General features: G+C 35.3%; 1 protein-coding gene across 9 annotated transcripts in view; it reads right to left on the reverse strand.

Moving 5' to 3' along the window:
- Positions 1 to 25,550, reverse strand: part of HMGCLL1 (3-hydroxy-3-methylglutaryl-CoA lyase like 1) — a 244,547-nt gene that overhangs the window by 136,833 nt on the left and 82,164 nt on the right. For 6 of the 9 annotated variants that reach the window (NR_109869.2, NR_109867.2, NM_001287753.2 and 3 more), the window contains exon 1: positions 7,743 to 7,987. The exons of 2 other annotated variants lie outside the window; for them this stretch is intronic. Coding sequence is in view for 4 of the 7 variants with exons in the window: in NM_001287753.2 (NP_001274682.1) it covers positions 7,743 to 7,850 (108 nt within the window). In the remaining 3 variants the exon portion in view is untranslated. Of the gene's footprint in view, positions 1 to 5,872; positions 5,963 to 7,742; positions 7,988 to 25,550 lie in introns of those variants that run through there. One more of the 9 variants, NM_019036.3, reaches the window with a different exon arrangement.

Below are 25,550 nucleotides of genomic sequence, written 5' to 3' on the forward strand. Positions count from 1 at the left end.
AAATTACAAGTCTTTGGAACTCCCTACCTTCACCTCATCTGTTAGATGCTTTACATCAACAAAAAGAATCTTGAGAATGGTAATATGCCTGGTACATGTTATTTGAAGAATCATGGTGTAACAATTAAACAATCTTTTTCTCAAGATAACTGAATTCATTCTTTAAAATATATATTTTGCTCTAAACAATAGTACTGATTTAAATATAAAATAAGAATGCTGAAAAGGCATAAACAGCCTTAAAAATAGGAAATGTAAAACGGTGAGTGAGGCTGATAGATTTGGCAGAAAGTAGGATAAACATAGTAATAGATCAAACGCTGGGCAAGGTGGCTCACGCCTGTAATCCCAGCACTTTGGGAGGCCGGGGCAGGCAGATCACGAGGTCAGGAGATCGAGACCATCCTGGCTAATGCGGTGAAACCCCATCTCTACTAAAAATACAAAAAAAAAATTAGCCGGGCACAGTAGCGGGCACCTGTAGTCCCAGCTACTCGGGAGGCTGAGGTAGGAGAACTGCATGAACCCAGGAGACAGAGCTTGCAGTAAGTCGAGATCGCGCCACTGCACTCCAGCCTGGGTGACAGAGCAAGACTCCATCTCAAAAAATAAAAAATAAAAAATAATAGATCAAACATGATTAGAGGTAAATTCATCTAATTAAAGCTAGAGAGTAATCATATAAGCAGCTTATAAGACATACATTTAAAGCAAAACAATAGAGAAATGGGCAGGTATAGTCTTAAAGCACTTAATTTTTAAAAAGACTAAAATCAAGTGAGCTAAATATTTAAAGAAAATTAAAATGCTAATGTAGAAAAAGTAGAGAAGAATTTTTTCAAAGAATAGAAATCAGTTGCTAGCACATCATCCATATGCATAAGCACATACAAACATACACATACAGTCAAGAGCATAAACAAGCCTACAAGATACTTCTAAGTAAAGTGATAAACTGTAGGAAGACTTATAGAGAGAGAAAGAGAAAGAGAATGTACCCATATCAGAAAGAGGCAATGCAAAAGATAAGATTGAAAAGAAAGGTAAATAATAATAAGAAAATACTTTTACCAACTTTATGCTAATAAAATGAAAAGATTTGATATACATTATGACAATAGAGGTAAAATATTATAAAGGAAGTACTTTAACAAATTTTATTAAACTATTTTATTCATCTATCAAAATTTTATTGAAGTATATTACACATAAAGAGGGAGTAAATAGTACATTGTTCTTCAAAGAGCAGATACTAAAATTGGACATAATATTACTTTTAACATTATTTAAAATATATATTCATTACCTTTATAACTTGTTCTTCATACCAAAAACCATTTGGAATAGTCATTTTTTCCATACAATATTTTTCATGAGGCAGATAATCTTTTTATTCTTTCTTTGTAATTCAAATTGGTAATCTGAATAGTATGTATGCTACTATACATATATAATGGAATATAACAAGTTCAAGTAGTATGGTAAATGAATATATTTTTACAATTTAAACTAAATTGCACAATTGGTATTTTTAAATTTAATTTCCTTATTATATAATCTTTCAATAATGGCTGACTAGCTTGTTCACAACAAACCTCTCACTGACAATGACTATATTAGTTGGATAAAATATTAATGAAAACCTAATAGTCTCAGAAATTTGGTTAATGAGTATTTCAGCAGCCAATATACTATGCAGGAGAAAAAAATAAAGTGGTGAGCCCAACAGTCAGCAGAACTTTTCTTTTTGAGGCATTTGCCAATTCTGTATGAGCAACTGAGAAGCCAAAACCATCAGATCTTCCAGGAGCCTAGCAAGGCTGGAGTGGAAATAGTTTGAATTCAGGTCTCAGCAAGGAGGAGCAACCCTGGTAAACATTTTAGGTTTTAGTTAGGACCTCTGAATGACTGCAGAATACAAAAAGTAAGGATGAAGAGAAAAAAGTAAAGCCCTTACAAGTAAAGTAGGCTAAACCTCATATCAGGTAAGCACTTGATTAGCTTAATTTAAGTTATCTCTACGCTTATTGTTTGATAACACCAAAGAGAAATCCCACCTGAGAAGGACAGTATTATTCAGAGTCTCAAATTACATCTATAATTATTTTCATACCAGGTGTCTAACATATTATTTAAATTTCGTAGGCATACCAGGAAGGAAAATACATAAAACAGACTAACTGGAGATCTGGATATTGGAGTTGTCAGACATGGGATCTAAAATAATTCTAATAAGTATTCAAGAATTTATAATATGATAGAGAATTGTGGCAGAGAACTGAAGCCTATCTTTTAGAAATCATAGAAACACTTTAACTCAAAATATAATAACTGAAATTAAGAACTCAATAAATTAGATTAACAGCAAATTAAACAAAGCTGAAGAAGAAATTACTGAAATGGAATATAAATGAGAAGAAAATATTCAGATTGAATACGGAGAAGAAAAGAAAGAATGAAAAAAATGAATGTAAGAAACAAATAAGGCACAGAGAAAGTTCTAATATTCTTCAAATTGTAGGCCTAACTGGAGAAGATTTAAAAGGAAACAAGAAACAAACAACATTCGAAGCAAAAATGGTTGAAAAGCTTCCAAAATATGAAACCCAACAAACATCAAGTCATAGATCCAAGAAGTGTTGTACATTATTAGCCAGATGAATGCAAAAGAAAGTATGCCTAGATATGCCATAGTAATACTATTAGAAACCAAATACAAAGATAAAAGAATGAAAGATAAATTATCATCAAAGGACCAAAAATAAGACAAATCGCTGATTTTATTGTAACTGGCTTCCACTGTATCTGTTGAGAAATCTGCATTTTGCACTGCTATCATGGCTGTTAATTTTTTAGATAAAACTTATGTTTATAGTAAACATTCATTTATACTTATAAACATCATATATGTGTGTGTGTATATATATACATTAGTGTATATGTGTGTATGTAATTTCAAACAAAGAAAAACTGAAAAAAATCAATATTAGTACTTTTTTTACTAAAGAAAATATTGAAACAAATACTTCTGGTTGAAGGAAAGTAATCTGAGGAAAAAATGGAGATGAAGAAAGGAATAAAAAGAGAAAATATGTGCACAAGTATAAATGGATATTGACTGTATGCATATGTATTGTAAATACACCATATAGATAATAAGTATATAGAAACAAAAACGTAAAAGGCAGAGGACAGAAAATGAAGTTAAAGAGTCATATTTGCATTTTTAATAAGTTGTAATAGTACTAATATATTATTTTAATAAGCCACGGTTGTATGTTGACATCTTATAGACAGCAATTAAGGGTATAGTAAAAAAAAGTATATCACTAACATGTCAATTCAGGGGGAAAATGAGAAATTAAAATGCTACATGATTTCAAAAGAAGCTGGAAAAGAATAAAAAATGGTAAGGAGACAAATAAAGAATACATGAGACAAATAGAAAACAGTATGATGGCAGTTTGGTCCCTGTCTGAAAATTCCTCCTCAATCATCCTAAAATATTTAGTAAATGTACTAACAACTACACAGTTGCAGGCCAAAAGTATAAAGATACATTATCATCTTATTACATTTAAGCAGAAATATAATACATTTAAATTCCAGAGACCCTTTAGCACCAAATAACTTTACGCTGAATCATAATTTTTGCTGACAGCAAATGTAACACAAAGGATCAGAATCGAATGTAAAATAACTATAAATTTAATCTCACATAATCTACTACTTTATTTTAGAAATATAATAGGTTTGAAACATTATTTATATTAGAATTTAGGTCTTTGGAAATTTTATTTTTGCAAAAGGGCATTAATATGTGAAGAGATTTAGTTATTGCTTAAGGAACACTTGAAAATCAAAGGGGGATCGCTTCACTAGGAAACTTAAATTTAATCAAAACTTTAAAACATGCCAATTAAGCCAGCTTCATTATACTCTTTTTAACAGAGACAACTACAGAAAATAAAACAGGTCCTAAGAGATAGCTTGAATTACAGAATGAGCAATTTCAACCTCTTGGTCTATTAAGGGAATTTTCTGCAAAACCATTGTCATTAGCAAAAACAGAGACCCACATAATTTAATTAGTGGACCTGTGATAGAATAAGCCTTTCATTCATATTTATTCTTTTTATATTTGATAGTACATTGTTAAACTTCTAATATGTATATGTGTATATATTCATACACACAATATTTAATTTAAGTCTAATAATTCATCAGGGATATATTATCTCTAATATGTAAGCTGAAAAATTAAGGTGTGGCCATGCTCTTGCACACACAAAACCATGGAATAAGTTGGTAACAGAAAAATATCGAGGTTTTCAATATTCTATTGCACACACATAATTATTTCAAAATACAGAATTTTCTATCTGTTCTAACTACAATCAAATTATTTCATATTACAGGAGTCAGGTTTATTCATGATTCTCTCTGCCAGATTCAACAATAGAGAATTAGTTAAGCTCTCTGCTGTGTTGACAGCCTCCAGAAACCATTTTTACCTCATCTCTCCATTAAACTACTATGAGGTCCTATGAGACAAAAAGGTGAGAGAAAAACAGTAATAATATTCATCGATTGGTGCTAAGATCAAACTCTATACCATGTCCCCATTCTCACTGATTTTGTATTCACTTAGCAAATATTTATCATGATGCTACAGTGTGCCAATCATTTTGTTGGACCTTGAACAAATGCTAAGAAGAAGTCCATGGTCTTCATGGGCATGTGATGCTTATGGCCTATAAGGGAAAACATTAATTCATTTGTTCATTCAAAAAGTATTATTGGCCATAAAAAATTAACCAGACATTCTGATAAGTGTTGAGAATCCCGTGGTGAATTGCTTCCTTAGTTTTACTATGCTTAATATCTGCAAAGCAATTAAATATCAAGTAATCATGAAAATAAATATATAATGCATATTATCTACAATAGGTTACTATGCAATAGAAGTCTAACAAAAGCTGCTGGCATGGAGAGTCTGGGAGAGATTTCACGAGAGGGTAACATGCAAGTTGAGGGCGGAAGATTAATTAGAAGTTAATTTGTTGAAAACAATCTTCCTAGCAGAGAGGAAGGTAAGCAAACACTGTGGTTCCAGAGGGAACACAATTTATTATAGAACTCAAAAAAGGCCACTGTGGCTAAAGTGGCAAGAACAAAAAAGAATAGCTTAAGATGATGTTGCTGAGAGATGCAATGAAAAGATCATTTGAAGTTTAGAAAACACATTAAAAGTTTTGGTGTCCACTCTTAAAAGCAATGGAAATTCACGGATGGTTTTGAAACAGAGAAATAGCATTATTTTATTTGAAATAGGGAACACTTTCCAATTAGCTATATAGGCATTGGGTTGAAGAGGGATTCCTGGAAAGTAAGAAGACTACTGCAACAGCCCAGTCATCCATATGAGAGATAATGCCATTTTAAAATTGATTGGTGCAATGAAGTTGGAAAAATAGATTTGAAAGAAATTCAAGAAGTAAAATTGCAGGACTCAGTGATACTTTGGGTGTGAGGGAAATGAAAGAAGATAGTTTCTGGTGTATGGCTCATAGAACTGAATAAATTATACTGGCATTCCCTGCAATAGGAAATATTGCAGAAAGTCCAGTGTTGGAAGAAGTAGAACATTAATAAAATTTTGAAAATGTTTGAGTTTGAGTTGCTTTTGAGATACCTAAGCGATGATGTCAAATGAGCAGCTGAACATCTGGACTGGAATTCAAGAGAAATAGGGGAATGTAAGTCTAGAAAACACTGGTACACAAACAGTAATCAAATCAGTGAGTGTAGATTGTCACTCAAACTCACACTAGGAAGAGTGTAGATAGTGATGGGGCATCTGGATATTTACCCAGTGGATACAAGCCACCGTGCCTGCCAAGGAGACTGAGAAGCCAGAGACATCGGGCTGAAAGCAGTGAAGGTTTGTTAGAAGAGAAGTCTAGGAAGATAAAGTTCAAAAAGCCAAGTGTCAGATGTTAGTGCTGCTGTGAGTTCAATTACGATAAGATAGAAAAAATCACAATTCAACAGTATTGGAACTAAAACAGAATTATTTTTAAAAATTCCCGAGAACACAAAAAGAAGCATAACTCTGGAGGGAGCAAAGGGCTGGACTAAAAAAAAAAAAAAATTTAAAATCTGTACTTGAGAGACAAATAAGAGTTTTCTAGGCAAAGCAGTTGGTGGGTAAAAAGGCAATATTTAGAGAAGGGCTATTATATCTTCAGAATGGGCCAAAAAAGTCTTCATTAAGCTGATGAATGCCCCAGAATTTTATTTCTCGGGAATCCTAGTCATTTTCATTTAACCTGCTTCCATATCTTAGCAGGGCAAATAAGACATCCTTACCTGCAACCAATCTTCTATCATTGTCCATAAAACCCACAAAATGTGTAAATCAGAAAATAAAGAGGGAGAGAGAAATATAATATTCACTCAAAAAGAAAAATCATATAAACTCTCAGACTTAGGAAATATAAGTTAATGGTTCCTGATTAAATAACAGACTGAATTTAAAAAGTCAAGAACATTAAGATAAAAGTTACATCAGGAAGGTCAAAATAGAAGGTAGGAAAATTAAATAGACATATTAACATGTGGGAAGATAAAGGATAACTTTTCACCTCTACCACTGTCATCAACAGGTTTTGAGTTAGATGACCATGGCCATCTTTTAAGTAACGAGAAACAAAATATCTTCTAAAGAACACAAATGCTGAATTCCAATTTGTAAAGATAAGATTGCAATTTCACATATGATACACTAAACTGAGAATACACAATAGAAAATGAATATTTTATATTAGAATAGTTGATTTAAATCCACATGGTACAATTATGCTTAATGACTAAAATATTACAATAACAGAAGTTATTTTGTTCACTAGTCGAATCAGAAATAATCTTGTATCCAGCACCTGTAATTTAACAAGAAGTCCTCACAGTGCTCCTCCTTTATTCCATGTTTCAACATTTTCATAACAATTATCAGTTATTTAATATTTTGTGGAATTTTAGATTTTCAAGTTTTTTAAGGAAAAAGTTAATTTCTTTATACACCTTTTCTTTATTTATCTGACACTGGTTAAGAGTGCATTAAATCATAAGTATATGAATAATATTAAGTTGCCTATTGTCTTAACATGCCCTTTCAGGAACAATGTGGGAATAAATTTTAGTCTGAAATTGCTGTTATTTACACTTTCTTTCAAGTTTGTTGAAGCACAAATACATTTGGGATAATTAATGTTCTGATGGATTATTTCATCCTACTATGTCTTCTTAACCTTCTACCGGTTTCATTCCTTTTTCTGCCTCACATTGTGACAAATTTGTAGTCTTTGTTACACAGTACAAGGAGCACTGAGAATAAGGGCGGTATCCTTGAAGGAATACCTATGAATACAAATTGTATTACGTAATGCATCCCTTTCCAGGAAAACACAGAGAAGGAATTCTTTTCTTTAGGCGACCAGCAAATGGTCACAGGCAGGGATTTTGCAGGGTCTGATCTGTAGAGGCGGGTCGATACATTCACCGAAGAGAGATAACGGGAAACCGTTTAAGGGGTGCGGCCTAACACGACAGAACTGCTGCGGGAAGGGTCCTGGGGTGAGGAGGTGACATAAAGGGAGGAGGGCACCAAGAGGTTGCAGGGAGAGAGGCTGGCTGTCAGTGTGCGCATGAGGGTGGGGACACCCTGGGCCGCGAGGTGGTACCTGCGCGGGGTCGAGCGCCCCTGCCACTGAATCCCCGATCCAGAGATGCTCCCGGAGAAGCTGCTGGTAGCTGAGGCAGTGCTTCACCGCGGATGGCACATTCCCCATGGCGGAGCCTGGGGCGGCAGTCGGCGAGGGGAGGGAGACTGGAGGAGGATGAGGGGCGGGCACCGCGCTGGGAAACTGCGCCAGCTCGGGAGCGCGCCCCTCCGGTGCACTGGCTGTGAGGACCAGAGCTGTTCTGCGCACTGCGGCGGCGCCGAGAGGGCGGGGAGTGGGGCGTGGCAGGTGGCCGCGCCTGGGGCAGCGGGTGCACGGGGCACCTGCGGGAATCGACAGAAATGCCGAGCACCTGAACAGGAGAGAAAGGAGCTGAGCCAGAGGATGTCCAGGGGTGTCTCATTTTCCGCACTACACTGAGCGCCCAGGGCTGACTGTATCTTAACGTGCCCACCTACTTCTCACCTGGCATAGATCAGGTGTAGAAGAAAAGGGGTCTAAAATAAAAGGAAGGGGCGTGAGTGTTTATGTTGATGAGTTCGTTCATTCCCAGCTGCAGCCTTGGGTGCTCAAGTGTAGATTTGCCTACCGTTGAGCTCACGGAGTTTATGCTTTATAACAATAAGCTCTATTTAAAAATGTTTTTGAGGCAATCAGCAAGGTTAAAACATATCCAACAGTCTAATGAAAAGGAAAAGATAGTCTTAAATTAGGTTACATGTCAGAGGTACTCTCAGAGGTACGTTCCTAAATGAGAGGTAAGCTGTAAGTTGGTGCTGCGGTTAAGCGCTGAAATGGAACTGCGTGTTTAAAAGTCTCATGGCACAAAATTATTAAAGCCCTAAGGACTAGATTTATCCAAACGGAAAATTCTATACAAGTTCTTAGGATATTAGAATTGGAGACATTTTTAGTGGAAGAGAGGGTTTGAAAAAATAGCCTTCGAGCAGACCACCGGCCTACCTTCCCCCCCTCACTTTCACATGTAAACTTACGTGTATTGTCACACCCTAATAATCTTCGCAGTGGGTTCAGTGGTTTGCAGCTAAAATGACATAGTCATCAAGAATAGTCTCGTGCAGGATACCTAGGGTCTTCCGGAGACCCAGCCAGGGTGTCCATGGCCAGGAATACGCATCAGCCCTGGTGGCTGATGGAGCAAATGTAAACCAGGAGCCAACCGATGCACACCGTAGTATAAACACACAGAAGAAATTTACCATTCAAAGTCAAACCATCCTTACCACTTGTGTGTTGCATGGGTGGGGGTTTGGGGGGTGGGCAGTGAGACTTCCACAGGTAATAAAAATAAATGGGTTAAGGGAGGAAAAAGACAAAGAGTGGAAGAGAAATCGTGTAGATCCTTCGGTAAAACTGCACTAGAAAGGGCAAAGAGGATGAGGAGGTCATAGTCTTCTTCTCACAGTTAACCAAGGATTTTTTTTTTCTTTTTTCTTTCTTTTTTTTTTTTTTTTTTTTTTTTTTTGAGACGGAGTCTCGCTCTGTCGCCCAGGCTGGAGTGCAGTGGCGCGATGTCGGCTCACTGAAAGCTTCTCCCCCCAGGTTCACGCCATTCTCCTGCCTCGGCCTCCCCAGCTGCTGGGACTACAGGCGCCGGCCGCCACGCCAGGCTAATTTTTTGTATTTTTAGTAGAGACGGGGTTTCACCGCGTTAGCCAGGATGGTCTCGATCTCCTGACCTCGTGGTCTGACCTCCTCGGCCTCCCAAAGTGCTGGGATTACAGGGGTCAGCCACCGCGCCCAGCCGGATGTTTAACCTGGAGAACATTCCCTGAACTGCTAAAGTGAAGTTATCCAATTCCTGGATGCGCTTAAAACTCTGTAAAGCACCAAAACTCCGGTTGTTATTTACCTAAGCATGACTATCATATAGGTGTACATTCATAGAGCTAAATCTATTAGCTGTACCAGCAGAGCTCAGCTGTTAGTTATTGTTCCACTGCAAGTGAAATGGACGGTACTGGTTATATCTATGCTTACTATCATTTTTCTCTCTATATTTAAATTCTGCAACAGGGAACATGATATTTAAAAATAATTTTAAAAGATCCAACTTCAACAACAATAATTTAACAAGGCAACCTTCATAATGGAGTCAACAATCATTCTAAACCTCAAAAAGGATTGGCAATTAAAATTGAAGTCTAAACTTTTGGAGAATAAGACCTCTAAGATAAGTCAGATATGATATGATCTTCTGCTACTAAGAACAAGAACATTTAGGGAAAAAAAAATTATTGCTTAATCGTTTTCTAAATTAAAAGGGTCTGAAGAAAATTTCATATACCAATTAGTTGACCATAGTGATACGTGTTTTTTTACAGAAAAGTCTTATAAATATAAAAGTATTTGTTTTTTATTTTAATTCATATCATATGGAAAATGCTATGATCTCAAATTTTTAAACAAAATTTGTACAAATGCCAAAATCTTAAAGACCAAATATCTTAAGAATGTTTAATCTAATGAATAAACAGGAGTTAAAATAGATGTGATTTTACTGGTAAGTAAAGTTTGGTGTTAATTTATGAATGCTTAAAATTTATACATTTGAAAAGCATATGTTTTTGTACTTAGTATTAATGTACATCTTTCTGTTCTGATTACTCAAATAAAACATTTTCAATATGTACCCCTGTTCTAAAAAGCTCTAGATAAAATGAGAATAAAAAGAAGTTTGTGGAAGGTTCTATAGTTCTCTCTTGCAATATAACAGGTTAGAAGCTTGGGCTCCATTAGAAAAATAAAGAAACCAGTTGTTAAAAACTACGAAGTGAGTAAGTGCCATATCCTGCATCTGCACTCTATACTATGCTTGCTGCATCATATGACTAAGCCATTTTTATTTCATTGCATTTTACTCACTCAAGCAGAAGAAGATACGAACATTCACCTCAAATTAAAGTAAATTTTCTGTTTTCTCTAGTGACTTTATTAATGATTTTACTATGTACAAAAGCATTCAATTCAACCTGTCTCTCCTGAATTATTCTTGACTTCCTTCTCTCCTTAATCCCACCAATCTGTCAACAAGTGATTTGAGTTAAATATCTTGGACTCATCCCTTGCTCTTTTTCTTTTGCTAAGAACTTCTCTCTGCTCCACTTCCTATCTGTTTGACAAGCAACACCATAATGCAGTGGGGAAGGGCCTAAGAGTTGGTTCTAGATTATCTATGATGGGAGCCAGGTTCTAACAGGGACTGAGTGACCCTGGACAACTTTGTTAGCATCTGTATCCACATGTGTAAAAGGGTGACAATAACAGTTCTTACTTGTTGCCAAAATTAAATGACAGAATATATAAAGTGTTCAACATTTGGTCTCTGGCATGTTGTAGGCAGCCAGCAAATGTTAGCTATTATTATTATTAATACAGTAGTCTGGCTTCCTGGGTGATTTTGCACTCAACAATTCATACTGTATAGTCTGAGAGATTTTGAAAATATATATCTGATAAACATTTCTGAACTTAAAATTCTTAGAGGTGTCCCATAACCTCTGGGGGTGGGGGTAAGTCATATTTCTTAAAAATGGTTCAATTAATATTTCATGAAGAGACTCTTAGCAGTCTTTGCAGTCTCAACTCCTACCCATTTTCTAAACTTATCCATAACTTCAGCAATATCAAATTATACATGTTTCCCCAAGTTTTAGGATTATTTCATGTCCTATCACTCTAATTATGTTTCTTATTACAGCAATTTTGAGAAATTCAGAAGATACATAAAGATATCAATGAAGACACCTAGTGTTCTAATTCTAGAAACATTTTAATACATTTTATTTCAGAGAGAAAAAATTAATATTTCTTGTATATACTTTTTGTTTTTCCCATTTTATTTTATTTAAATTATTTGAAACCATGATGCTATTGGCTGTACGATACCTGTATATATGTATACATATATGTATGTACACATACACACATATAATCAAAATCATTTCTTATAATAAGTTTCTAAAGTATAGCATGTTATTTATTTTTTGAGAGAAAAGTAGGTAGCTAGAAAATGATCATACGAATCTTTGTATGTATAATTAATTAATTTGCCAAAACAGCATGACGGTGGAAATCCTCCACTATAGTTCTGTTTCTGTCAATTTCTCTTTATATTTTTAAAGTTTTGCTTTGTATGTGCAAAGCAAATACATATACAAACCAAATTTGCATGCTTGGTAATTTGCTTATGTAAACTTATCTTTGATGAAGCCATTTATTTTTCTTTTTTTTATTATTATTATACTTTAAGTTTTAGGGTACATGTGCACAATGTGCAGGTTTGTTACATATGTATACATGTGCCATGCTGGTGTGCTGCACCCATTAACTAGTCATTTAGCATTAGGTATATCTCCTAATGCTATCCCTCCCCTCTCCCCCCACCCCACAACAGTCCCCAGAGTGTGATGTTCCCCTTCCTATGTCCGTGTGTTCTCATTGTTCAATTCCCATCTATGAGTGAGAACATGCAGTGTTTGGTTTTTTGTCCTTGCGATAGTTTACTGAGAATGATGATTTCCAATTTCATCCATGTCCCTACAAAGGACATGAACTCATCCTTTTTTATGGCTGCATAGTATTCCATGGTGTATATGTGCCACATTTTCTTAATCCAGTCTATCATTGTTGGACATTTGGGTTGGTTCCAAGTCTTTGCTATTGTGAATAGTGCCACAATAAACATACGTGTTCATGTGTCTTTATAGCAGCATGATTTATAGTCCTTTGGGAAGCCATTTATTTTTCTATAGGAATCTTTCATGGGTTATTGAAATATTCCTAAAGGATGATTTTACTTTTGCTTCACTGGGATATCTAATGGATTTAATTTGGTGGTGCTGAGATTTGTTTTTGTTAACATCTTAGCTTGGAGTCTCATAACGATATAATAAATATAGAACTTAAAATCATGCATGATGACACTTGCTTTCAGTCTTCTTACGGAGATTTACTTTCTCAACCACAGAACCAGGTGACCTTTTTTTCATCTCTCATATATGGAATGGCCTTTTGAGACCAATGGTTCATGTTCATGGCCCAGTTAACTACCATACTTACATGGCCATTTGCTTAAATGTACTCTTCCATTTGGTGCTTAAGACCTCAGATCCTGACTAGCAAGGCCTGTGCCTTCTTGTGAGCCTCTTGGCAATATTTAGCTTCTGAGAATGTTCTTGATATCAGTAGTTTGAGGGGAGGGGAAATAATCTCCACGATAAGCTCCATATTTAACAGAATTCTTACTTGAAATTTTCTCTGAGTATTATATTTGTTCCATAATTTTCAATGTATTCTGGAGTTCCTATCACTTCTATAAATAAAGACAGGGAACAAGAGATGCTGAACAGAATGAAGAACACTGGATTTAACTCAGAGCCTGAGGATCTCATGATATGGTTCTGATGTCTTGACTAATCCACAAGAAAGAAAACTGAACAGAAGCCACATGCTCTACACTTACTCCCATTCTTCACCCTATCTCTTCTCTGTATAAAATGACCGCAATAAATTACTACCATATAATAAATTACAGGGTTGTTGGCACTGTCTATATTCTAGACAAAGGGTCTCAAAAACAGAGTGAGGAGGGATTTGTGTTTCAGAGATCAATCAACGCCAAACTAGGCAGACTGACTATACCAATTGTCTCGAGTGGGAAGTACTTGGGTGAGAAGGATCTAATTAAAACAGGTTGCTATCTTGTGAGTTTCTTTGGTCCCAGAGATGGCTATTTGAAAGTCTCTATGCTGACAGCATGGATAGAATCAGAAGCAAGTGAACCAATTGAAGTTCTTATAGTAACAAATGCCAAACTGACATGTAGCCAAGATACCTATTGGGCAGGGATAAAAGACACATATGGTGAATCTCAAACAATGATTCCATAGAACTTTGGTGAGCATTACAAGAGTGATGTGGTACAGCCTTAAACAATAAAAAAGAAACAATGAGAACAACCTGGCTAACAATACTAGATGATACCTAAGGGGAAAAAAGCTTTCATCATATCAGTTTTATTGCTGAAAATTTTAGATAACTTCTCACATATGTTATATCTGGCTGATCTAAATTGATCAGAAGGATAACAGAGTGTTTAAAAACATTCTTGGCATTTGGTTCTAAATTCAAAGTTCCATTAGCAATAGAATTGTTCTGAAATAGAGCATTCTTTTGAGAATAAGTAATGAGTTCTATTTTACCAAAATAACACCCCACCCCAGGTGATGAGTACCTGGCAGCAAATACTGAAATCAGAACAAAGCCATAAACCACATTTATCCAGATGTAGGAGTCTATTTATTCTCTCACTAATTCAGAAGGATCCAAAAGCATTAGCTTTGCCAACTGTATTGCAAAATAAAAGACACAGACATGGACTGTTCGTTAACTAGTTTTACTTTGTTAGATGGTTGAAATCCGCATATTTTTTGCCAACAGATATAAAAATATCTTTGTTTCCATTAACTACAAGCTCAAACTTCACTTAGAAAATATTTTATCAATTAGTTGATAAATTTTGGTGGGTTATAATAAGATCTTAATAGGTAAACTGTATTATCTCTTATCCAGAGATTATATCATTCTTTGAAACTGTATCAAGTACTATTGAATGAGAACACAATTCACTATCAATTATAATTATAAAGCATTTAGTATTTTTCTTTGCACATAATAACTGCTCAATAACTCAGCTTTCTTTTGCCTTTATTGAATCAAATTCATCCATTTTTAAGAAGACGTAGTAACATTGTTCCAGCTAGTGGGAATCTGTAAAAACCAAATTTAGGACATTTGTTTAGTCCACTACAGATACTTTTAAAATTTAATACTCAATAGCTAATGGAAAAATAAGTATGAATATATATTTAAGATTAAGATATGCCTTCTTGGCTTTAAATACCTCACATTCCTGTGGCAACATCTTAAGAAAAATAACTAAAATAAAAGAATGCAAAGCATATCTATTTTAATTAGAGGAGTATAAGAAATTAAATTCTAAAGCTGTAGGATCTATATACAAAACATTATAGTAGAATTTGCATATCCACCAAATGTGAATTGAATAATTAATGCTTAATAAATACGGGGCCATATAATACTGTGTGGAGGGTAATGCTAAACAAGGTAGTCAACACAAGAAACTTCTAATTTAATAGGGAAATATAATGTTGCTTAACTAACTAAAATAGGCCAGTATGTTGATAAGTGCCAAGTGAGAAGATAAGTTTAGAATCATAGAAGTAAAGGCAGTAGGTTTCTCGTTTAACTATGATAATAAGAGAACACTTCAGGGAAAGAGACCACATTCGAGAGGATTGGGTAGACAGAGCCTATCATGATGAAGAGACAGTGCAGGGGAAGTGTGAGTAAGAGCAACTGAAAACAGCCTCATTATTACCAAAAACTAACAAAACATGGAAATCAGTTTTTTTTTTATTATACTTTAAGTTTTAAGGTACATGTGCACAATGAGCAGGTTTGTTACATATGTATATATGTGCCATGTCGGTGTGCTGCACCCAATAACTCATCATTTACATTAGGTATATCTCCTAATGCTATCCCTCCCTCCTCCCCCCACCCTACAACAGGCCCCAGTGTGTGATGTTCCCCTTCCTGTGTCCATGTGTTCTCCTTGTTCAATTCCCACCTATGAGTGAGAACATACGGTGTTTGGTTTTTTGTCCTTGCGATAGTTTGCTGGAGAATGATGGTTTCCAGTTTCATCCATGTCCCTATAAAGGACATGAACTCATCATTTTTTATGGCTGCATAGTATTCTATGGTGGTGTATATGTGCCACATGTTCTTAATCCAGTCTATCGTTGGACATTTGGGTTGGTTCCAAGTCTTTGCTATTATGAATAGTGCTGCAATAAACATATGTGTGCATGTGTCTTTATAGCAGCATGATTTATAATCCTTTGGGTATATACTCAGTACTGGCATGGCTGGGTCAAACGGTATTTCTAGTTCTAGATCCCTGAGGAATCGCCACACTGACTTCCACAATCATTGAACTAGTTTACAGTCCCACCAACAGTGTAAAAGTGTTCCTATTTCTCCACATCCTCTCCAGCATCTGTTGTTTCCTGACTTTAAGGATCGCCATTCTAACTGGTGTGAGATGGTATCTCAATGTGGTTTCGATTTGCATTTCTCTGATGGCCAGTCATGATGAGCATTTTTTCATGTGTCTTTTGGCTGCATAAATGTCTTCTTTTGAAAAGTGTCTGTTCATATCCTTCTCCCACTTGTTGATGGGGTTGTTTGTTTTTTTCTTGTAAATTTGTTTGAGTTCTTTGTAGATTCTGGATATTAGCCTTTTGTCAGATGAATAGATTGCAAAAATTTTCTCCCATTCTGTAGGTCGCCTGTACAGACAAGCAAATGTTGAGAGATTTTGTCACCACCAGGCCTGCCTTACAACAGCTCCTGAAGGAAGCACTAAACATGGAAACGAACAACCGGAAAATATGCCAAATTGTAAAGATCATCGAGGCTAGGAAGAAACCGCATCAACTAAGGAGCAAAATAACCAGCTTACATCATAATGACAAGATCAAATTCACACATAACAATATTAACCTTAAATGTAAATGGACTAAATGCTCCAATTAAAAGACACAGACTGGCAAATAGGAAAAAGAGTCAAGACCCATCAGTGTGCTGTATTCAGGAAACCCATCTCACGTGCAGAGACACACATAGGCTCAAAATAAAGGGACGGAGGAAGATCTATCAAGCAAATGGAAAACAAAAAAAGGCAGGGGTTGCAATCCTAGTCTCTGACTAAACAGAATTTAAACCAACAAAGATCAAAAGAGACAAAGAAGGCCATCACATAATGGTAAAGGGATCAATTCAACAAGAAGAGCTAACTATCCTAAATATATATGCACCCAATACAGGAGCACCCAGATTCATAAAGCAAGTCATTAGAGACCTACAAAGAGACGTAGACTCCCACACAATAATAATGGGAGACTTTAACACCGCACTGTCAACATTAGACAAATCAACGAGACAGAAAGTTAACAAGGATATCCAGGAATTGAACTCAGCTCTGCATCAAGTGGACCTAATAGACATCTCCAGAACTCTCCACCCCAAATCAACAGAATATACATTCTTCTCAGCACCACACCACACCTATTCCAAAATTGACCACATAGTTGGAAGTAAAGCTCTCCTCAGCAAATGTAAAAGAACAGAAATTATAACAAACTGTCTCTCAGACCGCAGTGCAATCAAACCAGAACTCAGGATGAAGAAACTCACTCAAAACCACTCAAATACATGGAAACTGAACAACGTGCTCCTCAATGACTACTGGGTACATAACGAAATGAAGGCAGAAATAAAGATGTTCTTTGAAACCATCGAGAAAAAAGACACAACATACCAGAATCTCTGGGACACATTTAAAACAGTGTATAGAGGGAAACTTACAGCACTAAATGCCCACAAGAGAAAGCAGGAAAGATCTAAAATTGACACCCTAACATCACAATTAAGAGAACTAGAGAAGCAAGAGCAAACACATTCAAAAGCTAGCAGAAGGCAAGAAATAACAAAGATAAGAGCAGAACTGAAGGAGTTAGAGACACAAAAAACCCTTTAAAAAAATCAATGAATCCAGGAGCTGGTTTTTTGAAAAGATCAACAAAATTGATAGACCGCTAGCAAGACTAATAAAGAAGAAAAGAGAGAAGAATCAAATAGACTCAATAAAAAATGATAAAAGGGATATCACCACTGATCCCACAGAGATACAAACTACCATCAGAGAATATTATAAACACCTCTATGCAAATAAACTAGAAAATCTAGAAGAAATGGATAAATTCTTCAACACATACACCCTCCCAAAACTAAACCAGGAAGAAGTTGAATCTCTGAATAGACCAATAACAGGCTCTCAAATTGAGACAATAATTAATAGCTTACCAACCAAAAAAAGTCCAGGACCAGATGGATTCACAGCCGAATTCTACCACAGGTACAAGGATGAGCTGTACCATTCCTTCTGAAACTATTCCAATCAATAGAAAAAGAGGGAATCCTCCCTAACTCATTTTATGAGGCCAGCATCATCCTGATACCAAAGCCTGGCAGAGACACAATGAAAAAAGAGAATTTTAGACAAATATCCCTGATGAACATCAATGCAAAAATCCTCAATGAAATACTGGCAAACCGAATCCAGCAACACATCAAAAACTTATCCACCATGATCAAGTGGGCTTCATCCCTGGGATGCAAGGCTGGTTCAACATACACAAATCAACAAACGTAATCCAGCATATAAACAGAACCAAAGACAAAAACCACGATTATCTCAATAGATGCAGAAAAGGCCTTTGACAAAATTCAACAACGCTTCATGCTAAAAACTCTCAATAAATTAGGTATTGATGGGATGTATCTCAAAATAATAAGAGCTATTTATGACAAACCCACAGCCAGTATCATACTGAATGGGAAAAACTGGAAGCATTCCCTTTGAAAACTGGCACAAGACAGGGATGCCCTCTCTCACCACTCCTATTCAACATAGTGTTAGAAGTTCTGGCCAGGGCAATTAGGCAGGGGAAGGAAATAAAGGGTATTCAATTAGGAAAAGAGGAAGTCAAGTTGTCCCTGTTTGCAGATCACATGATTGTATATCTAGAAAACCCCATTGTCTCAGCCAAAAATCTCCTTAAGCTGATTAGCAACTTCAGCAAAGTCTCAGGATACAAAATCAATGTGCAAAAATCACAAGCATTCTTATACACCAATAGCAGACAAACAGAGAGCCAAATCATGAGTGAACTCCCATTCACAATTGCTTCAAAGGGAATAAAATACCTAGGAATCCAGCTTACAAGGGAGGTGAAGGACCTCTTCAAGGAGAACTATAAACCACTGCTCAACGAAATAAAAGAGGATATAAACAAATGGAAGAACATTCCATGCTCATGGGTAGGAAGAATCAATATCGTGAAAATGGCCATACTGCCCAAGGTAATTTATAGATTCAATGCCATCCCCATCAAGCTACCAATGACTTTCTTCACAGAATTGAAAAAAACTACTTTAAAGTTCATATGGAACCAAAAAAGAACCCGCATTGCCAAGTCAATCCTAGGCCAAAAGAACAAAGCTGGAGGCATCATGCTCCCTGACTTCAAACTATACTACAAGGCTACAGTAACCAAAACAGCATGGTACTGTTACTAAAACAGAGATATAGACCAATGGAACAGAACAGAGCCCTCAGAAATAATGCCACACATCTACAACTATCTGATCTTTGACAAACCTAATAAAAAAAAAATGGGGAAAGGATTCCCTATTTAATTAATGGTGCTGGGAAATCTGGCTAGCCGTATGTAGAAAGCTGATACAGGATCCCTTCCTCACACCTTATATGAAAATTAATTCAAGATGGATTAAAGATTTAAATGTTAGACCTAAAACCATAAAAGCCCTAGAAGAAAACCTAGGCAATACCATTCAGGACATAGGCATGGGCAAGGTCTTCATGTCTAAAACACTAAAAGCAATGGCAACAAAAGCCAAAATTGACAAATGGGATCTAATTAAACTAAAGAGCCTCTGCACAGCAAAGGAAACTACAATCAGAGTGAACAGGAAATCAGTTTTTAATAAAAAATCTTCATAAAATTTTCTGATTTCATGAGATTTTTATCTCATGCTTATTAAACTGTGGATACTATATGTAAAATGATCTTTTTTATTTTTCCACAGATAAATATAAGCACATAAATTTTAACATATATACTAAAGACACTAATTTTAAAGTATTTATTTTGAAATTCAGCTTTAGATGTCTTAAAGTGTGTCATGCCAGTTCTCCAAGGGCAGAGGAGGAAAGATAGTATTCATTAAGTGCCTAAACCTATGAAGCACTTCACTGGATATTTTAACTATGTGTATGAATTTAACATATGAAGAAACTGAGAGTCAGAGAACTTGAAAAACTATTCGGAAGTAACAAGGAAGTGTAAAAAGTGGATTCAAAATTGTGTCTGTCAAAGCCTTTGCTCTTTCTTTTTCATCTCATGATTTTCAAGAATAAATAATAAAAAGACACTTTTTATGTACATGGTATTTCCTGCTTCTAATATATTTTAGCGAAAGAAACCCTTGCTCAGAGATGTTAAATTTTTTCCAAGAGAGCTTCTTTAGAGCTAGAATTTGAATTCAGTCTTCTGACTCTTCATTCTAGAGATTCACACACTATGTGAAGGACTCAATCTTGTCCTAAATATGAAGCCCAAGAATGTTTTCAGTCCTGATAACATCATAAGTACTATCCAGGAGAACATCATAAAGTTAAAAAACTCTTAATATCTTCAGCAGTGATGTGTGTTCTGCCTTCTTCTAGGGTTTAAACTTTAGTTCTAGGTCTTCGAAGCAAACTTGCAGAGGGGCACTTCATCTTGATAATCATGCCTGGTGGGGGTGGGACTTCTCTTTTCGTAAATCATGCAAGCCATGATATTTTTATTGCTACACATTTATAAAAACATCTATGTATTGGATAGGAATTAAGATTTTTGAGTTCCTGTTCACTTTTTTTTTCCTTTCCCTTTTTTTCCCCTTGGTGGCCTGGCATACTCGTTAATACATTTTCCCACATATCATGTGGTTTTGTTTTGTTTTCCCAAACTAATGAAGTTTTACTCTACCACTTAAGGAAGTTTTTTTTTTTTTTTCCATTAGGGAAAACATAATTTTCTTGCCAAAAGTTTCCCAGAGTTCCCATGGAAGTACAATTCTCTAAAGAATTCATTAAAATGATTGAATAATGGAATCCTTTTCTTACTAGAATGCCATCATTCCAAGAACATTTTAGTTGAATATTTTAAGGGCAGAAAGTTATAGGAGTGCTTTATTAACTGGTATTATTCAATGACCTATATTTCACAAATCTCAAATCTCCACTAAATTTACACATGGAAATACACCAATGTGGAATCATTACTTTTCAAGGCAGTAATCTATAGTTATTTTATAATAAAATACTAATTTTTATAACTTTCAAATTACATTTGGAAAACTTTTTTGCTCATTCACTTAAAGCTTGAAATTACCCCAAAAATTATAAGCCAGTGCTAAAGACCTGGGAGGGAAGGAGGTCAGGGAGAGATGGGACAACAGGCCTAAAGCAATATTCCTCAGATTCTCCTCTTCCCACTTAATTTCTGTTCCTATTAGGAAGACATTCCTCTAGTGTCTTTTATTTTACCTTTCTCTCTTTTAATTTATTTACTACCATTTATTACCCTAATTTTTATACTATTCTCTCAGAAACTTTTCCCTATTGCATAGTTATAAGTTCATGAAGATATCTGATTCTTAGTAATTCATAGTTTGCTTAACAAAAGTTTAGAAGATATGGATTTACTAAGTTAGAATTAGTCAAGTTTATGTGCAACATTTTGAAAATGTTTGTTGGTCTTTATGCTTCATCTTCAACAATAGAATAGCTTAAAATGGTGTTTTTCAACCTCAGCACTATTGACATTTTGGGCTTAATAATTCTTTGTTGTGGGTGGTGTCCTGTGCATGGTGGGGATTTTAGCAGAATTCCTGGCTTTTACTCACTAGATGCCAGTAGCCTCTGAGATGTAACAAGCAAAAATATATTTGGACATTGCCAGATATCCCCCTGGAAGGCAAAATCATTCCTAAATGAGAACCACTGGTTTAAATAATGGTAATGAGAACAAGTACTAACGTCTGCTGAGCATTTTTCAAGTGCAGTTCTAAATATTTAAGTGGACACTAATTCATGAGAAGGGTCCTATGATTCCTATGTTACAGATGAGACCATTTGAGCACAGAGAAGTCAACTAAGTTACTACCAACACATGGCTAGTAAGTAAGAGAGCCAGAATTCAAACCCAAGAAGTCGGACATCAGAGCCCCCTTTTTAAATTGTTGGGCTATAGCTGTCTTGCTGAAATTACACTAAGCTAAAGTGAAATCTATAAAAAGCATGCATCATATATAAGGTTAAATTTTTTCCCATGATTTCAAACATTCAAACCTTGGAAAGGAGACTTCCTACAAATTCAAAACCTCCCAAGATAAGTAAGTTTCCTTATTCCCCTCATCCTGTTCACTGAGCTGTTGAGAGCCCTTCAAAGCTCAGATTCCCCAGGCAGATATTTAAAGACCAGGTCAAGGAGTCAGATTCCTGGGATCACATCCTGACAGAACCATATTCATGAGTATGAGACCCATGAATATCATAAAGCTGCTTACATGCTTTATTCATAACAATCATTCAAATATTAGAAAATGTTTATTTTTTAGTGTCAGTAGTTGAGAAGAAAACAATTAAAATTAGTTTTTTAGGATTTATCCTATATTTCTCAGCATTCAAACATCATTTCCTTTTAACCTTTTACAAATAACAGCCAGCAAAATTAAATTTATTTTTCTACCTCTCCATCTGAACTGCGTGTGGGAGAAGTGATATTTCTCCTATCACTTATGTAAATCATGCCATGGGATAACAAAAATTATCACACAGCATAATTTATAAGGCTTTCATCTTTGTAAGTACTTTGTCTTCAGGAAATGTGAATTAGCTTGTTTTAAACGTTGTTTTAATTTTTAAAGGAATATAGTGTAATAACCAAGTTTTATATCTAATCAAACACAACTAATTCATATAACTTGAAATACATGGTATATATTATCTTTCCAGTTCCTTAGACAGTTGATTGAAATAATAATAACAACCTATACCTAACTTACATTTCCATGTGTCAGGCACTGTCCTAACAGTTTCTCATATATTAGTCCATTTACTCCTCATAATAATCACTTAGGTTGGTATTTTTAATATCCCGATTTTGGAAGTGAAAAATCAGAACCACGGAGAGGTAAATTACTTGACTAAAGTCACAATAGCTAATAAGTGATTTAGCTGGCTTATAAACCTAAACGGTTTGGGACCAAAGCTGTGCTGGTTATTACTTATATATACTTCCCTCCTAAAGAAGAGAAATTATCACCAAATATATTATTCATCATTTTATTAGATGGATCAAATTAGAATATGTGTCTTATATTGACACAGGAGAAAAAATATATTCGGTCTCAAAATTGTACAACCTATGAAATTCTTGGCAGCAGAGAGTAAGAATTTTATCTTATAAAGAAGTGAATTCATAATTATAAAAAAATTTGAATCTAATGATTCTGAATTATTCCTTAAACAGTTGATTTATTTTTCTTCTTTCCTTCTCACTAGTTCAAATGTCTGGGTTTCCCCATGTCATCACATTATCTAGGTCATTGAGAACACATGTCCCAGTTTTCCTGGTTCAGGTCTAGTTTACACGGTCTTGGTGTCCTCTACTGTTCAGAATTTCCTGAATTTATCATTTTTAACCAAGAATTTTGCTTAGTAATTGCATTAAAATGAGCCAAGGTGAGTTAAGTCAACCTTCACATTGTACTTCCAGCTTCTGCCACAATCTCTTCTTGAGTGTGTGAAACATTTGTTCTGAGAATAGAGTTCTCACTTTAACACATGGTTAAATGTGCAGGAAAACCAACAACAAACCTCTTTCTTTACTTGATCATTTCCAGATGCAACATATCTACTATTCCCCTTTCAAGTAGAGCACGCAGGGTGCTAGCTGATAAGATGTGCTTGAGATAAGCAGCTAGGGACAGCTAACTCCCTCTGGTATTGGGTAGTGGTGGTGGGAGAAGTCTGTCCTGTTGCCCTGATGGTCCCTTGGTTTAACAGCAAGTTGTCCCATGACCTGTGCCTAGTGTGATGAGATGCTTGAAGGTGTCAGGACACGAATCCTCTTAGTCAGAGGGAAATACTTAAAATTATAGCTCAGATATACATGAATTACATGGGGAGATGGAGGCTGAGCAGTCCTGCTACCAAGTATACAGAGTAGTAAACACTCTGGATATTGTGTTTCTTTAAAAAAATATATTGTGCAGTATAAATCTACAACTGTTTTTTGGCTTTTAATTTCTGTTAATGCTTTTTATTTTTCCGTACAATATTTCAATGACAATTTCTTGGAAAAATAGAAACATACATTTCAAAAATAAGTTCTCAATTTCCATTTCTCGAGAAAATTGAAAATGAATTTTTAAGTATTTACCAACTACCATGAAGGTTGTACTGACCACGTGAAAATCACACGACACAAATCTACTACTGAATCACAATCATTTTATGAAGACTATGTACAGAGACAACATCCGAACAAATATAAGTAGAGAGATGAAATATATCTATCTATAAAGCCTGAATTTTCATTTAGATAAATGACTATTCTAAATAAACGCTGTCAAATTACATTTCAAGAGTTTTTGTTCTCATATGTAAATAGTGAGGAGAGGACTGTTAATATGTCCACTCCAAGAAGAACTCTGTAAAAGGTGACATATATTTATTACATTACCTACAGAAGTTTCAAATAGAAAAGCAGTTCAGCTAATGACAATAAAGTCTTAACTTTGTTCTTCACAGGATTTATGGAATCAAGGTGAAGCTATAGAAATTTTATTCTACTAATGTAAAAAATCTGACTTTATTGTGAATGCTACTGTAAATTCAGTTAAAAGTCCAATATGAGAGATAAAATTCTTTGTGTAGTAACACAAAATTTTTGATGGAGCACAGCAGTGTAGTAAAAGCAGTGTTCTTACTAAGAACCTATGAAGAAAAAATGTACTTGGAATTGGTTGGGAAACACAAATAATTCATGAATCTGGCCAAACTGGGGGAAATACTCTGTTAATAAAAATTGAAGATAAAGATGTAAAATTTTATATACTAGGAAATATATCATTGACCCACAATTTTTTGAACCAAACTGACGTTAAACGCTGCAGCATGATAACATAACATTTACTCTTCAGTGGTCATCTTTGATCTGATTTTAGAAATTTTGGAGCCTTTGTGAATGAAATACTTTGTAAATAATTGTCAATCTTCAACATGGTATCAAATGTTTTGTAAAAGATGTATCTACATTGTGATGGCGTTTTATTAAAAAAGGAATTGGAAAGTTGGGCTCGATGGCTCATGACTGTAATCCCAGCTCTTTGGGAGGCCAAGAGGGGTGGATCACTTGAGGCCAGGAGTTTGAGAGCAGCCTGACCAACATGGTGAAACCCCATCTCTACCAAAAAAGTACAAAAATTAGCCGGATGTGGCGGTGTGCACCTGTAGTAGCAGCTACTCGGGAGGCTGAGGCAGGAAAATCGCTTGAGCCCGGGAGGTGGAGGTTACAGAAAGCTGACATCACACCACTGCACTCCAGCCTGGGTGACAGCAGTGAAACCCTGTCTCAAAAATAAACAAATAAATAAGTAAATAGGAATTGAAAATCTTTAGTACATATATACAATTAGCACCAAAGGCTTCAGGTGTTGAAACTTAGACAAATTGCAATTGTAGAAAACAAAGCCTGCAGACAGATGGTTTTAATGTTTATCTCTAATGCAACAAGCTTAATAATGAATATTACATGATGTAAAAGATTTAATTATGAGGTTTCATAATATTCTGAATTTTAATTGCAGCTTTGTAAGATCCTGAGGAGAGGACTCAGTTGAGCTACGCCTAAACTCCTAAGATATGGAAGTGGTTAGATAATAAAAACATAGTAAAAGTTTCAGGACATCATAGATTAGCAGTTTAAAATCTCAACTATATTTCTTCATGCATTAAGTATAAATTACGTATATACTTAAAACAAACTTTTTGTCTCAAATTTG

The sequence above is a fragment of the Homo sapiens genome, chromosome 6 (genome assembly GCF_000001405.40).
Source record: "Homo sapiens chromosome 6, GRCh38.p14 Primary Assembly".
NCBI lineage: Eukaryota > Metazoa > Chordata > Mammalia > Primates > Hominidae > Homo > Homo sapiens.